The sequence below is a fragment of the Homo sapiens genome, chromosome 3 (assembly GCF_000001405.40).
Source record: "Homo sapiens chromosome 3, GRCh38.p14 Primary Assembly".
NCBI lineage: Eukaryota > Metazoa > Chordata > Mammalia > Primates > Hominidae > Homo > Homo sapiens.
This window is the reverse complement of record NC_000003.12, coordinates 120563646-120576804: the sequence shown is the minus strand read 5'-3', so window position 1 is coordinate 120576804 and position 13159 is coordinate 120563646. Positions and strand designations below refer to the sequence as shown.

Below are 13159 nucleotides of genomic sequence, written 5' to 3'. Positions count from 1 at the left end.
AAGCTTTTTGATGTGCTGCTGGATTCGGTTTGCCAGTATTTTATTGAGGATTTTTGCATCAATGTTCATCAAGGATATTGGTCTAAAATTCTCTTTTTTGGTTGTGTCTCTGCCCGGCTTTGGTATCAGAATGATGCTGGCCTCATAAAATGAGTTAGGGAGGATTCCCTCTTTTTCTATTGATTGGAATAGTTTCAGAAGGAATGGTACCAGTTCCTCCTTGTACCTCTGGTAGAATTCGGCTGTGAATCCATCTGGTCCTGGACTCTTTTTGGTTGGTAAACTATTGATTATTGCCACAATTTCAGAGCCTGTTATTGGTCTATTCAGAGATTCAACTTCTTCCTGGTTTAGTCTTGGGAGAGTGTATGTGTCGAGGAATGTATCCATTTCTTCTAGATTTTCTAGTTTATTTGCGTAGAGGTGTTTGTAGTATTCTCTGATGGTAGTTTGTATTTCTGTGGGATCGGTGGTGATATCCCCTTTATCATTTTTTATTGTGTCTATTTGATTCTTCTCTCTTTTTTTCTTTATTAGTCTTGCTAGCGGTCTATCAATTTTGTTGATCCTTTCAAAAAACCAGCTCCTGGATTCATTGATTTTTTGAAGGGTTTTTTGTGTCTCTATTTCCTTCAGTTCTGCTCTGAGTTTAGTTGTTTCTTGCCTTCTGCTAGCTTTTGAATGTGTTTGCTCTTGCTTTTCTAGTTCTTTTAATTGTGATGTTAGGGTGTCAATTTTGGATCTTTCCTGCTTTCTCTTGTGGGCATTTAGTGCTATAAATTTCCCTCTACACACTGCTTTGAATGTGTCCCAGAGATTCTGGTATGTTGTGTCTTTGTTTTCGTTGGTTTCAAAGAACATCTTTATTTCTGCCTTCATTTCGTTATGTACCCAGTAGTCATTCAGGAGCAGGTTGTTCAGTTTCCATGTAGTTGAGCGGCTTTGAGTGAGATTCTTAATCCTGAGTTCTAGTTTGATTGCACTGTGGTCTGAGAGATAGTTTGTTATAATTTCTGTTCTTTTACATTTGCTGAGGAGAGCTTTACTTCCAACTATGTGGTCAATTTTGGAATAGGTGTGGTGTGGTGCTGAAAAAAATGTATATTCTGTTGATTTGGGGTGGAGAGTTCTGTAGATGTCTGTTAGGTCTGCTTGGTGCAGAGCTGAGTTCAATTCCTGGGTATCCTTGTTGACTTTCTGTCTCGTTGATCTGTCTAATGTTGACAGTGGGGTGTTAAAGTCTCCCATTATTAATGTGTGGGAGTCTAAGTCTCTTTGTAGGTCACTCAGGACTTGCTTTATGAATCTGGGTGCTCCTGTATTGGGTGCATAAATATTTAGGATAGTTAGCTCCTCTTGTTGAATTGATCCCTTTACCATTATGTAATGGCCTTCTTTGTCTCTTTTGATCTTTGTTGGTTTAAAGTCTGTTTTATCAGAGACTAGGATTGCAACCCCTGCCTTTTTTTGTTTTCCATTGGCTTGGTAGATCTTCCTCCATCCTTTTATTTTGAGCCTATGTGTGTCTCTGCACGTGAGATGGGTTTCCTGAATACAGCACACTGATGGGTCTTGACTCTTTATCCAATTTGCCAGTCTGTGTCTTTTAATTGGAGCATTTAGTCCATTTACATTTAAAGTTAATATTGTTATGTGTGAATTTGATCCTGTCATTATGATGTTAGCTGGTTATTTTGCTCGTTAGTTGATGCAATTTCTTCCTAGCCTCGACGGTCTTTACAATTTGGCATGATTTTGCTGTGGCTGGTACCGGTTGCTCCCTTCCATGTTTAGTGCCTCCTTCAGGAGCTCTTTTAGGGCAGGCCTGGTGGTGACAAAATCTCTCAGCATTTGCTTCTCTGTAAAGGATTTTATTTCTCCTTCACTTATGAAGCTTAGTTTGGTTGGATATGAAATTCTGGGTTGAAAACTCTTTTCTATAAGAATGTTGAATATTGGCCCCCACTCTCTTCTGGCTTGTAGAGTTTCTGCTGAGAGATCCACTGTTAGTCTGATGGGCTTCCCTTTGTGGGTAACCTGACCTTTCTCTCTGGCTGCCCTTAACATTTTTTCCTTCATTTCAACTTTGGTGAATCTGACAATTATGTGTCTTGGAGTTGCTCTTCTCGAGGAGTATCTTTGTGGCGTTCTCTGTATTTCCTGAATCTGAATGTTGGCCTGCCTTGCTAGATTGGGGAAGTTCTCCTGGATAATATCCTGCAGAGTGTTTTCCAACTTGTTTCCATTCTCCCCATCACTTTCAGGTACACCAATCAGACGTAGATTTGGTCTTTTCACATAATCCCATATTTCTTGTAGGCTTTGTTCATTTCTTTTTATTCTTTTTTCTCTAAACTTCCCTTCTCGCTTCATTTCATTCATTTCAGCTTCCATCACTGATACCCTTTCTTCCAGTTGATCGCGTCGGCTCCTGAGGCTTCTGCATTCTTCACGTAGTTCTCGAGCCTTGGCTTTCAGCTCCATCAGCTCCTTTAAGCACTTCTCTGTATTGGTTATTCTCGTTATACATTGGTCTAAATTTTTTTCAAAGTTTTTAACTTCTTTGCCTTTGGTTTGAATTTCCTCCTGTAGCTCAGAGTAGTTTGATCATCTGAAGCCTTCTTCTCTCAACTTGTCAAAGTCATTCTCCATCCAGCTGTGTTCCGTTGCTGGTGAGGAGTTGCATTCCTTTGGAGGAGGAGAGGCACTCTGCTTTTTAGAGTTTCCAGTTTTTCTGCTCTGTTTTTTCCCCATCTTTGTGGTTTTTATCTACTTTTGGTCTTTGATGATGGTGATGTACAGATGGGTTTTTGGTGTGGATGTCCTTTCTGTTTGTTAGTTTTCCTTCTAACACACAGGACCCTCAGCTGCAGCTCTGTTGGAGTTTGCTAGAGGTCCACTCCAGACCCTGGTTGCCTGGGTAACAGCAGCGGTGGCTGCAGAACAGCGGATTTTCATGAACCGCGAATGCTGCTGTCTGATCGTTCCTCTGGAAGTTTTGTCTCAGAGGAGTACCCAGCCGTGTGAGGTGTCAGTCTGCCCCTACTGGGGGGTCCCTCCCAGTTACACTGCTCGGGGGTCAGGGGTCAGGGACCCACTTGAGGAGGCAGTCTGCCCATTCTCAGATCTCCAGCTGTGTGCTGGGAGAACCACTGCTTTCTTCAAAGCTGTCAGACAGGGACATTTAAGTCTGAGGAGGTTACTGCTGTCTTTTTGTTTGTCTGTGCCCTGCCCCCAGAGGTGGAGCCTACAGAGGCAGGCAGGCCTCCTTGAGCTGTGGTGGGCTCCACCCAGTTGGAGCTTCCCGGCTGCTTTGTTTACCTAAGCAAGCCTGGGCAATGGCGGCCGCCCCTTCCCCAGCCTCGCTGCCACCTTGCAGTTTGATCTCAGACTGCTGTGCCAGCAATCAGTGAGACTCTGTGGGCGTAGGACCCTCCGAGCCATGTGCGGGATATAATCTCCTGGTGTGCCGTTTTTTAAGCCCGTTGGAAAAGCACAGTATTCGGGTGGGAGTGACCCGATTTTCCAGGTGCCGTCTGTCACCCCTTTCTTTGACTAGGAAAGGGAACTCCCTGACCCCTTGTGCTTCCCAAGTGAGGCAATGCCTCACCCTGCTTCGGCTTGTGCACGGTGTGCTGCACCCACTGTCCCGCGCCCACTGTCTGGCACTCCCTTGTGAGATGAACACGGTACCTCAGATGGAAATGCAGAAATCACCCGTCTTCTGCGTCGCTCATGCTGGGAGCTATGGACCGGAGCTGTTCCTATTCGGCCATCTTGACTGCCCTTATCCTATATGTATTCTATATTCTGCTTTTTCAGTTAAATTTTTTAAATAAACAGTTTTCCATAATCTTTATTATGGATAATAACATCCATAAACTATGGACATGTAATACTCCAACAGTAGGAAATAATTATAATTTACTTAGTTATCTCCTTTGCTTGACTTTAAGGTTGGTTTTTTTTTTTTTTTTGAGACAGCATCTCCCTCTGTCACCCAGGCTGGAGTCCAGTGGTGCAATCTTGGGTCACTGCAACCTCTGCCTCCTGGGTTCAAGTGACTCTCCTGCCTCAGCCTCCCAAGTAGCTGGGATTACAGGCACCCGTCACCACACCCGTCTAATTTTTATATTTTTAGTAGAGACGGGGTTTTGCCATGTTGGTCAGGCTTGTCTTGAACTCCTCACCTCAGGTGATCCACCCGCCTTGACCTCCCAAAGCGCTGGGATTACAGGCATGAGCCGCCGGCCCCAGCCTTAAGATTGGTTTTCTAAAAAGCATCAGTAAGTACTTAGATAAGGAAACACCACTTTTTAAAGCATTTTATGTTTGCTTATGGAATTATATGCTTTTTTACAGTTCCATTTATCTTTGCTTTTCACCCAGTTGCTCTTCTAGGTGTTGTGCCCACCTCCACCCTTCCTGTCAAACCCTGCCAATGCCTCAAGGCTTTGGAGGAAACGGACACAATGCTTTCCTGACAGTTCTCACTTAGTCTATGAACTCTATCACCCTATTGTCCCTGCCCAAGGAGGCATGCTGTTGATTTTTGTTGGTTTAAGCTTGTCCTCAGCAGAAGCAGGCTGATTCCCAGAAAGTCAATTCTGCTGAAGCCAGTTTGTGAATGACCACTTCTTGGAATGGCAAGGTGACCTAAGGTCAACCACAGCAAACTAGACTGAAGGCTGTGGAATATACCAGACTTTGGAGTCAGATACATGGAACGTCAAACCTGGGCCCTTCTCCCAATGCCCCTGGAATTGATTACTCTATGGTCTATAGGCAGAAAACCTGACCTCTCCAGCCTGAGTTCCTTCATCTTTGAAATGGGTGCCTAGAGAGCGTTTTGGAGATAAAATGACAGCATGCACACAAAGGCCCTGATGTGGGACCATCGTGGTAAGGCATGATGGAGGGTCATGAGATGCCTTCTTATGCTCTGGAAAATGGTGGAAGGAATCACATGGTTGGCAAAAACATATGAAATTCTACATCTGAATCTTGGTTTCTTCTCTCTTTTAAAATCCAGCTCCTCACAAGTCTATTTTTTGAAAGAACCAGCCTCCTTTTCTTCTAAATATTCTAAATATATGAAATCCAACCAAAGTTTCAAAACACACTTTTGTGGTTGTTCTTTCACAGGTGTTAAAGACAATTGGATAAGATATCCTGCCAAGAGCATCTTAAAAATACCAGGGTAACTTCTTTTTTTTTTTGTTATGGAAACTTCCCACACACAAAAGTAGAGGAAATGGTATAATGGACCCACTGTATTCATTCTCCAGCTTTTATCATTTTAAATATTTTTCCATGTTGTTTTATCCATCCCCCTAGATATACCCTTCATTTTTCTTTTTGCTGGATTATTTGAAAGCAGTCCCTCACAGTGTTTTATATTATCCATTAAATACTTTGGCATGTATTTCTAACAGTTAAGGAGGTTTTTTTCTACATAACCACAATGCTATTATCACACGTAACAAAAGTATCAATAATCTCAGGAGCATTTTAAAAATAGTGTTCTGGAAAAAGCAAGCCAAATAAGTGAGTAATAGAGAATTTCAAGCCCTATGGTAAGAGGTTTGGGAAGATGCTTTTGGCAAAGGGGGCACTTTCATTTTTGCAAATGACATCACAGAGCCAGATGTCACTTTCTCCTACATATCCAAAATTGGATTTACTTTCTTACCCCTGAAATGTATTCTCTAGTTCAGTGTAAGGCATCAGTATCCACCCAGGAGCTTAAGCCAGAGACTCAGAATTCTTGTAGAGTCTTTTCTCTCCCTCCTTTCTCTCTTACCCCTCCATTTAACCAGTTTTTTAAAATCGTGATAACATTTAACACGAGATCTACCTTCTTAACAAAATATTAAGTGTACAATACATTATTGTTGACTATAGGTACAAGGTTGTACAACAGCTCCCCAGAGCTTATTTATTTTGCTTGACTGAGACACAATGCTCATTGTTAGTGATTCCCCATTTCCTCTTCTTCCCAGCCCTGGCTACCACCATTCTATGATTCTATTAATTTGAATCATAGATACTTCATCTTAGATATTTCATATAAGTGGAGTCATGCAATATTTGCCTTTCAGTGACTGGCTTATTTCACTTAGTGTAATGTCCTTAAGGTTCATCTGTATTGTTACACATTGCCAAATTTCCTTTTTAAGGCTGAATAATATTCCGTTGTATGTATGTACCACATTTTCTTTTTATCCATTAATCTGTTGATGGACATTTAAGTTGTTTTCACATCTTGGCTATTGTGAATAGTGCTGCAGTGAACATGGGTATACTAATATCATTTTGGGATCCTAATTTCAATTCTTTTGGATAAATATCCAGAAGTGGGATTGCTGGATCATATGGTAGTTCTATTTTTAATTTTCTTAGGAACTTCACACTGTTTTCCATAGTGGCTGCACCATTTTGCATTCCTACCAACAGCATATGAGGGTTCCAATTTCCTCCACATCCTCACCACCACTTGTTATCTTTATATATATAACAACCATCCTAGCAGGTGTGAGGTGGTATCTCATTACGGTTTTGATTTGCGTTTTTCTGATGATTGGTGATGTTGAACATTTTCTTATACCTGCTGGCTATTTGTATGTCTTCTTTGGAGAAATGTCTATTCCAGTCCTTAGCCTATTTTTAAAATTAGGGGTTAGTTTTTTTTTAATTACTGCTATTAAATGTAGGAGTTTCTTATTTTGAAGTTCTAAATCTCAGAGTGAATATTTCTCATAGCAACCCCCTCTTCTCCATTCCTACTTCTGTTCCCTTTGTCTAGTGCACATTATCCATCTCGGCACAAAGTACTGAATGGTGTTTTTTTTTCTTTTTTAAATGAGGCTTTTATCATGTTGGCCGGGCTGGTTTTCAACTCGTGGCCTCAAGTGATCCACCCACCTCAGCCTTCTAAAGTGCTGGGATTACAGGAATGAGCCACCACACCGGCTTCTGAATGGTCTTTATCTGGCTTCCTCTGGAAACGAAACCTGAAACATGGATTCTACTATAAATAGTTCATTTGAGAGGTGATCTCAGGAATCCCTGGGAGCTGATTCAGGGAGCAGGACAGGGAAGTGAAAGAAGCCAATAAAGGATGTGTTACTAAGCACTGCCGAGCTCCATGCCACTGAGAAACTCCACTGGAGCTCCACCTCACTGAGAAACTCTGAGACACAGAGTAGAATACGACTTAAGAGTTATCCCAACCAACAGGCAAGGAAGCTGGGGTGTTTACCCATCAACTCTCCTGTTCCTCATTGTTTGAGGGCTGATCTCAGGGACATCAACCCCCCAGCACATCTGGCCTGCACTCCTGCACTGTGTATGGGCTATGCATGCTGCCAAGCCAGAGCACAGAGGGTCACAGGCCTTGGGGGTGTGGGGTGCATACTAATTGGACGTGGGCGGGGCACTGACAGCACCGCTGCATTGCCTCCCTTCTCCCTTTCCCGACAGAGGCCTGGGATAACTTCCCGAGGTGCAAATCTGATTATGACACTCCTCTAGTCAATAAAAGCATATGTGGATGATGCTAAAGACCTACCTTGCTTATTTCACCTGATGCAGGTGACTGGAGTGGTGCCAAGCCATCTGACCCTGGGCACCTTTGGCATACCTTCTGCAGGTGGTCAAAGCTTGGACTGGATTTTCAGTAACGTGAATTAAATGGATAGATAGCTTTATTCATATATTTATAATTAAAATCTGTTTATTTGCAGAACAGGTTGGGAAGGGAAGAGATAAATGATTGCCTGTGGTTTGGGGCCCACTGGTGCAGCCCATCTCCTCTCAACAGCTTTGCTGACCCCTTCTCGACAGTGCAGAGCCTCTCCCCTGTGTTTCTGTCACTGCACCAAAGCCACTCGTGGCAGCACCTTGTTCTTCTTTATGCAGTCACATTATCTGGGAATCTCAATGTGATTTGCAAGCTTACATAACTTCCCAAATGAGTCAGCATGCTCATCAAGAAGGCAGCATGGTGTCGTGGAAAGAACAAGGCATTTGGTGCCAGATAGAACAAGTTCAATTCCTGCATCTGCCACTTCCTAACTGTGTGTCTACACAAGTTATTCTACCTCCCCCAGCCTGTTTCTTCCTCTAACAAATGGAGATGAGAATATCTACCTAGGAGGGTTATTATAAGGATGAAGGGAGGTAAGGAACACTCAGAGTGTGATCAGTGTTTGCTTCTCCCATCCTATATCCTGATTTACACATCTAGCAGCAAATTCTTGAACCTTACTGACATGTAGTGAGTAGAAAATGCTGATTTGTCTTTGTCTGCTTTTAGCACCAGTTAATTTTTGATGAAAGTTTAAATCATGTATTTGTAAAGGAAAAATTGGTCTTGCTCTACTCTGGGCAAAGCAGGCACAGTGCGTGTGAAATAAATCAGCACCAGAAAGGTCTGTGGTGCTCTAGGTAGGGCTGGGCAGGCACAGCCTGGCTCAGGCCTGGCCGGACTGCAGTGGCAGCCAAAGATCACTAGCTTTCAGAGGAAACTTTGGGAGCATGCAGTAAGACAGACAGCCTGAAAAACAAAATATCCAAGAGAGGATGTGGGATCCAATCCGAATAGCTGCTTACCACAGTGGGGAGCGGTTAGGAATGGCATGGTAGAATGCCTTTTGCCAGACAAAGCAGCAGCATACGAATGAGGATGCTGCTGTGCTGGTCAGGGCTGGGGATAGTTCTGGAACTGTTTTTCCTAAGCGGTTAAAGCAAATGCAAGCTTAAAAAAAAAATAAAATCCCTGATCAGCAAATAAGTACTGCTACAAATGTTCTTCCCTGCTGGTCACAACACTATTAGGGCAGGAGTAGCAGACAAGCTCATTTCCAGGATCTTTACAGCCAGCATAATACATAGCTAGCAGTCAGCTGGGGGCAGCAGAGAGAATATTTATAATTTAGAGATGATTGGTTTGCATGTCCGTGGAGCAAAGAGGTAGCTAAAAAAGTAAAGCAAGAGCCGATCTTTAAACTCAGACACCCCAGAATGTTAGAGCTGGAAAAGATCTTTCAGATCATCTAACTGTTCTGGTGATTTTTATATACTAACAACAGCAGAACTTTTCTTTTAAATAAAATCTTATGCAGACTCTCCCCTTTAAAACAAATAAAAGGAGAGCTGCTCTGAGTAGGGGAGGGAGGGAGACAAGGGGGCAGTGTGGTTCTGGGACGGCAGCCTCTGAGCCTTCACTGTAGGTCTCCAGCAGTAGCCCAGAAATACGTCATGGAAATCCTGAGGCCCCACTGACCACAGCTTAGAAACCCCTCATCCAGTCTTAGGCTCACAGAGGGCAGGTGACTGGTCTAGGGTTACTGAGCAGAATTGGGACTAGAGCGCAAACCTCTTGATTTTAAGTTCCTTGCTCTCTGCTAAAAACCATCTCTCCTTCAGAAAAAAAAAAGTATCTGTAAAGATAAAGTTACCTCGTGAAATAGCTTATTAAAGTAAATGAGAAAGCCAGAGGCATCTGAGTGTAAACACTGGCTTTGAAAAGGATCCAATTTTATCTTCTTCTCTGCTGGACCCAAGGGCAGCTTCTTACTACATTTATTTTTAAGGCTTTTAGCGTAACAGTCACAAAATCCAAGGAGATTTACTAAATTAACGGTCACTTAAGCCAGGACGAGTCTAACCAGTTTGTACCTGTTAGAAAACAGAAACTTAAAATAATAGCTTAGTGTTAGAAAAAAAATTATTTTTACTATATTGGCACAATAAGAAAGGAAGGTGAAATGCACGGCAGATGAAGGGGCCAAACCAGAGCTCTCAGGCGCTGGAGCACGAAGCATTTCAGACTCTTGCCTCCGTTTATCGTTTGTGAGAACTCAGACAAGTCACAACGTCTCTGGACCTCAGTGTTTTCAATCTATAAAATGATTAAATCATTAAGGCTATTAAAGGTCAGTATGCAACAGAACTCTGACATAGAACTTCCCAGTGAGCAGGGTCAGCTGGTGCTGTGCCTAATTAACATGCAGCAGAAGTCTCTGTGTCCAAGGCCAAGGGCCTAGTAGTGCAATTAATACAGAAGAGAAAGGAGCGGGAGGAGGGAAGCAGGCAGAGAGGAAAGCAGAGCCTCTCCTTTCATGCTTCAGAGGACAGGACTTTGGTCAGCAGCATCCTGCACATTTATGTGAGGACTATTACCTGGAAGTCCTCTAAATGGCAAGATAAATGGCATGTGCATATGATGAAAAGTCTGTAAGGACATACACCAAAATGCCAACAGTGTTTTTACTGGGTTAAATGTTTATGAATGTCCTTTGCTTTCTTCCTTTCTTCCCTTCTTTCTTCCTTTCTTCCCTTCTTTCTTTCTCTTTCTTTCTTTCTCTCTCTCTCTTTCTTTCTTTTTCTTTCTCTTTCTTTCTTTCTTTTTTTCTTCCTCCCTCCCTCCCTCCTTCCTTCCTTCTTTCTTCATTCCTCTCATCCTTCCTTCTTGCCTTTCTCCTGTGTTTCCTACATTTTGTACCTTACCTATGTATTGCTTGTGTTTTCCCCACCAGAAGGTAAGCTCCATGAGTGCAGGAATTTTTGTTTCTTTTGTTCACTGCTGTATTCCTAGTGCCTAGAACAGTGCCTGGCATTTGGTAGGCACTCAATAAACATTTGTTGAGTAATGAATAATGTGCAATTTAAAAGTGAGAATTTTTTTTTAATTGCAGGCAACACAAATTATGTCTTAAAGCAGTAGTTTTCAATCTTTTTGGACTACAGCCCATGGTAAAAAATATTTTTAAAATTGTGACATCACAGTACATAAATTCACACACACAAATATGACATATATAACAAAGATTTCACAAAGTAATACTTATTATTATAACTTGTGGCGTACTTTGATATTTTAAAATCACTTCTATTTCCATTTTTGAAATACTGACTCACTAAATTTATTTCAAGACTCACTAATAAGTTATGATCTGCAGTTTGAAAATCACTTCCATTGAAAGAGCAGCCACCTGGAAGGTCAGCCATGGTTGCCTTGTAGGGGAAGGCATGGGTGAGAATCTTCCATCTGTTTGCACCTAATCTTTGGAAGATCAAGAGCTTGAAATTAGCAAGGGCAGATGAAGTTGTCCATGGTTACCTGTGTTTCCTAGCTACTCTTCAGAAAGACATTGTGTCTCAGAACCTTGAGTAGAATCATTTAGACAACTCCATCACCGTACAAGAAGAAACTGAGGATTGGGAAAGGAAGAAGGCTTCCTACCACATCCTACATGTGTGAGCTTAATGTTCCTTAAAACAAATATTCTAGTCAACTCCACCCCTGAACATGAAGTAGAGACAAAGAAAACTGGGGCAGGAATCAGAGATTCCAGTTCTTATGATTTGGCCAACCTGCTTTGAAACTCAGTTTCCTCATCTGTAAAATGAGGAATCGGCCATAATGCTATTCAAGACCAGTGCCAGCCCTAAAAGTTGATACTCTAAAAGTAAGACAAACAAATAAGAGTAACAATCTTTGCCAAGCACCTATTATGTACCAGACAATGAGCTAAGTGTTTTACCTATAGCATCTCACTAAACCTCCCAACAACTCTGGGAGAATAGGGTTATTAGCCTTCACAGAGGACGAAACTGAGGCTCAGAGAGGTTAATAACTTGCCCCAAATCAGCAAGTAACAGGGTTGGTTTCTAATTGGGGTCTCTCTGATGTCAACCCCCGTGTTCTCAACTACAACACATACTGTTCCCTAATGGAGTTGCTTTGGGGTTTCCATTTCAAACCCCTGACACATTTGGTCTCCCTTTAAGCTAGGAATGTTCAATTAAAGGTAGTAGTACGTTGTAACAAATGATAAAACGATACCAAGGGGGTATATATAAGGAGAAGGGAAGCAATACTATTTGAATGCAATATTCAAAGCATTTTGTTTATGGTATTCAATTTAATCCTTACAACAACCTTCAAATTTGTTTTTGTTTTTGTTTTCATTTTACAGATGTAAACACAGAAAGGTTTAGTAACCTTTCTTTTTTTTCTTTTTTGAGACGGAGTCTCACTCTGTCACCCAAACTGGAGTGCAGTGGCACGATCTTGGCTCACTGCAACCCCCGCCTCCTGGGCTCAAGCGTTCTACAGCCTCAGCCTCCTGAGTAGCTGGGATTACAGGTGCTCACCACCATGCCCGGCTAATTTTTGTATTTTTAGTAGAGACGGGGTTTCACCACGTTGGCCAGGCTGGTCTCAAACTCCTGACCTTAGGTGATCCGCTCTCACTTTAGCCTCCCAAAGTCCTGGGATTACAGGTGTGAGCCACAGCACCCAGCAGGTTTAGTAACCTTTTAAAGATAACAGGTATTTAGTGTAGCTGTGGGACTGTAAGCTCTCTGAAGATACAGACTGTCTCTCCCATTTGTGCTTTTATTGTCAATGCCTAAAAGAGTGCCTCGTACATTGTAGGTGATCAATACACACTTACTAAAGGCATAACTGAAGGAAGTAACCAGGTTTTAAGCCCAGATCTGCCCAACTCCCAAATCCAATTATTTTCACTGCTGAACTCATATTATTTATTTAAAACAATTGGTATTTAGCCAGTTGTTACTGAGTTCCCATCTCTTGGCCGAATCTATAATTAAGGTAATTTTGTAAGACATAGTTAGAGCTATTCCCTGGCTCCCTAAAATGCGTAACGTTCACCCAGAGGACCAGACTTGGAGAAAAACACAGGACTGGAAAACATGTGATCACACCCTAGTATCATTGCTCTCCCTGATCACCAAGAGCAGTTACAGAACAGAGAGGTTTGTTTTGTTTGGTTTTTAAATCAGTAAACACAAATTTTAAAAGGCCTACTCTTAGGCAGAGTATCTTCATAGTGACAAGGACATAGTGACAAGTGCATCTTCTGGTGCATCTTCTAGGATGTTTCTGCCCAGGAATTGGAGGAAGGCGAGAAATGAGGCATACCAAGCATGCCATAGCAGACGGGTGTGTGCAAGTGTGCCTGAGACATGGCCCTGCTTAAACTCAGCCAGGCAGGTCCAGTGATGGATGAGTGGATGGCTCTGATAAAGAGCAGGCATCTCCTATCTTTCTCATTCAAGGGTAGTTCCTCTCCAATGCACTGACCAAGGCTACACCTGGCCCTGGCTTCGGTCATTCAGGGTACTT

The 13159-nt window shown here is 42.3% G+C and overlaps 2 annotated features.

Moving 5' to 3' along the window:
• Positions 4467-4687: a transcriptional cis regulatory region, noted in NCBI's record as "candidate enhancer chr3.3352 targeted for multiplex CRISPR interference". NCBI's record gives its function as "positively regulates NDUFB4 gene expression with high confidence in K562 cells {active_cell/tissue: K562}" and the evidence as "EXISTENCE:mutant phenotype evidence [ECO:0000015][PMID:30612741]".
• Positions 11959-12162: a silencer, noted in NCBI's record as "fragment chr3:120283490-120283693 (GRCh37/hg19 assembly coordinates)". NCBI's record gives its function as "represses an EF-1alpha promoter that drives an FKBP-Casp9 reporter gene in an ReSE screen in K562 erythroleukemia cells {active_cell/tissue: K562}" and the evidence as "EXISTENCE:reporter gene assay evidence [ECO:0000049][PMID:32094911]".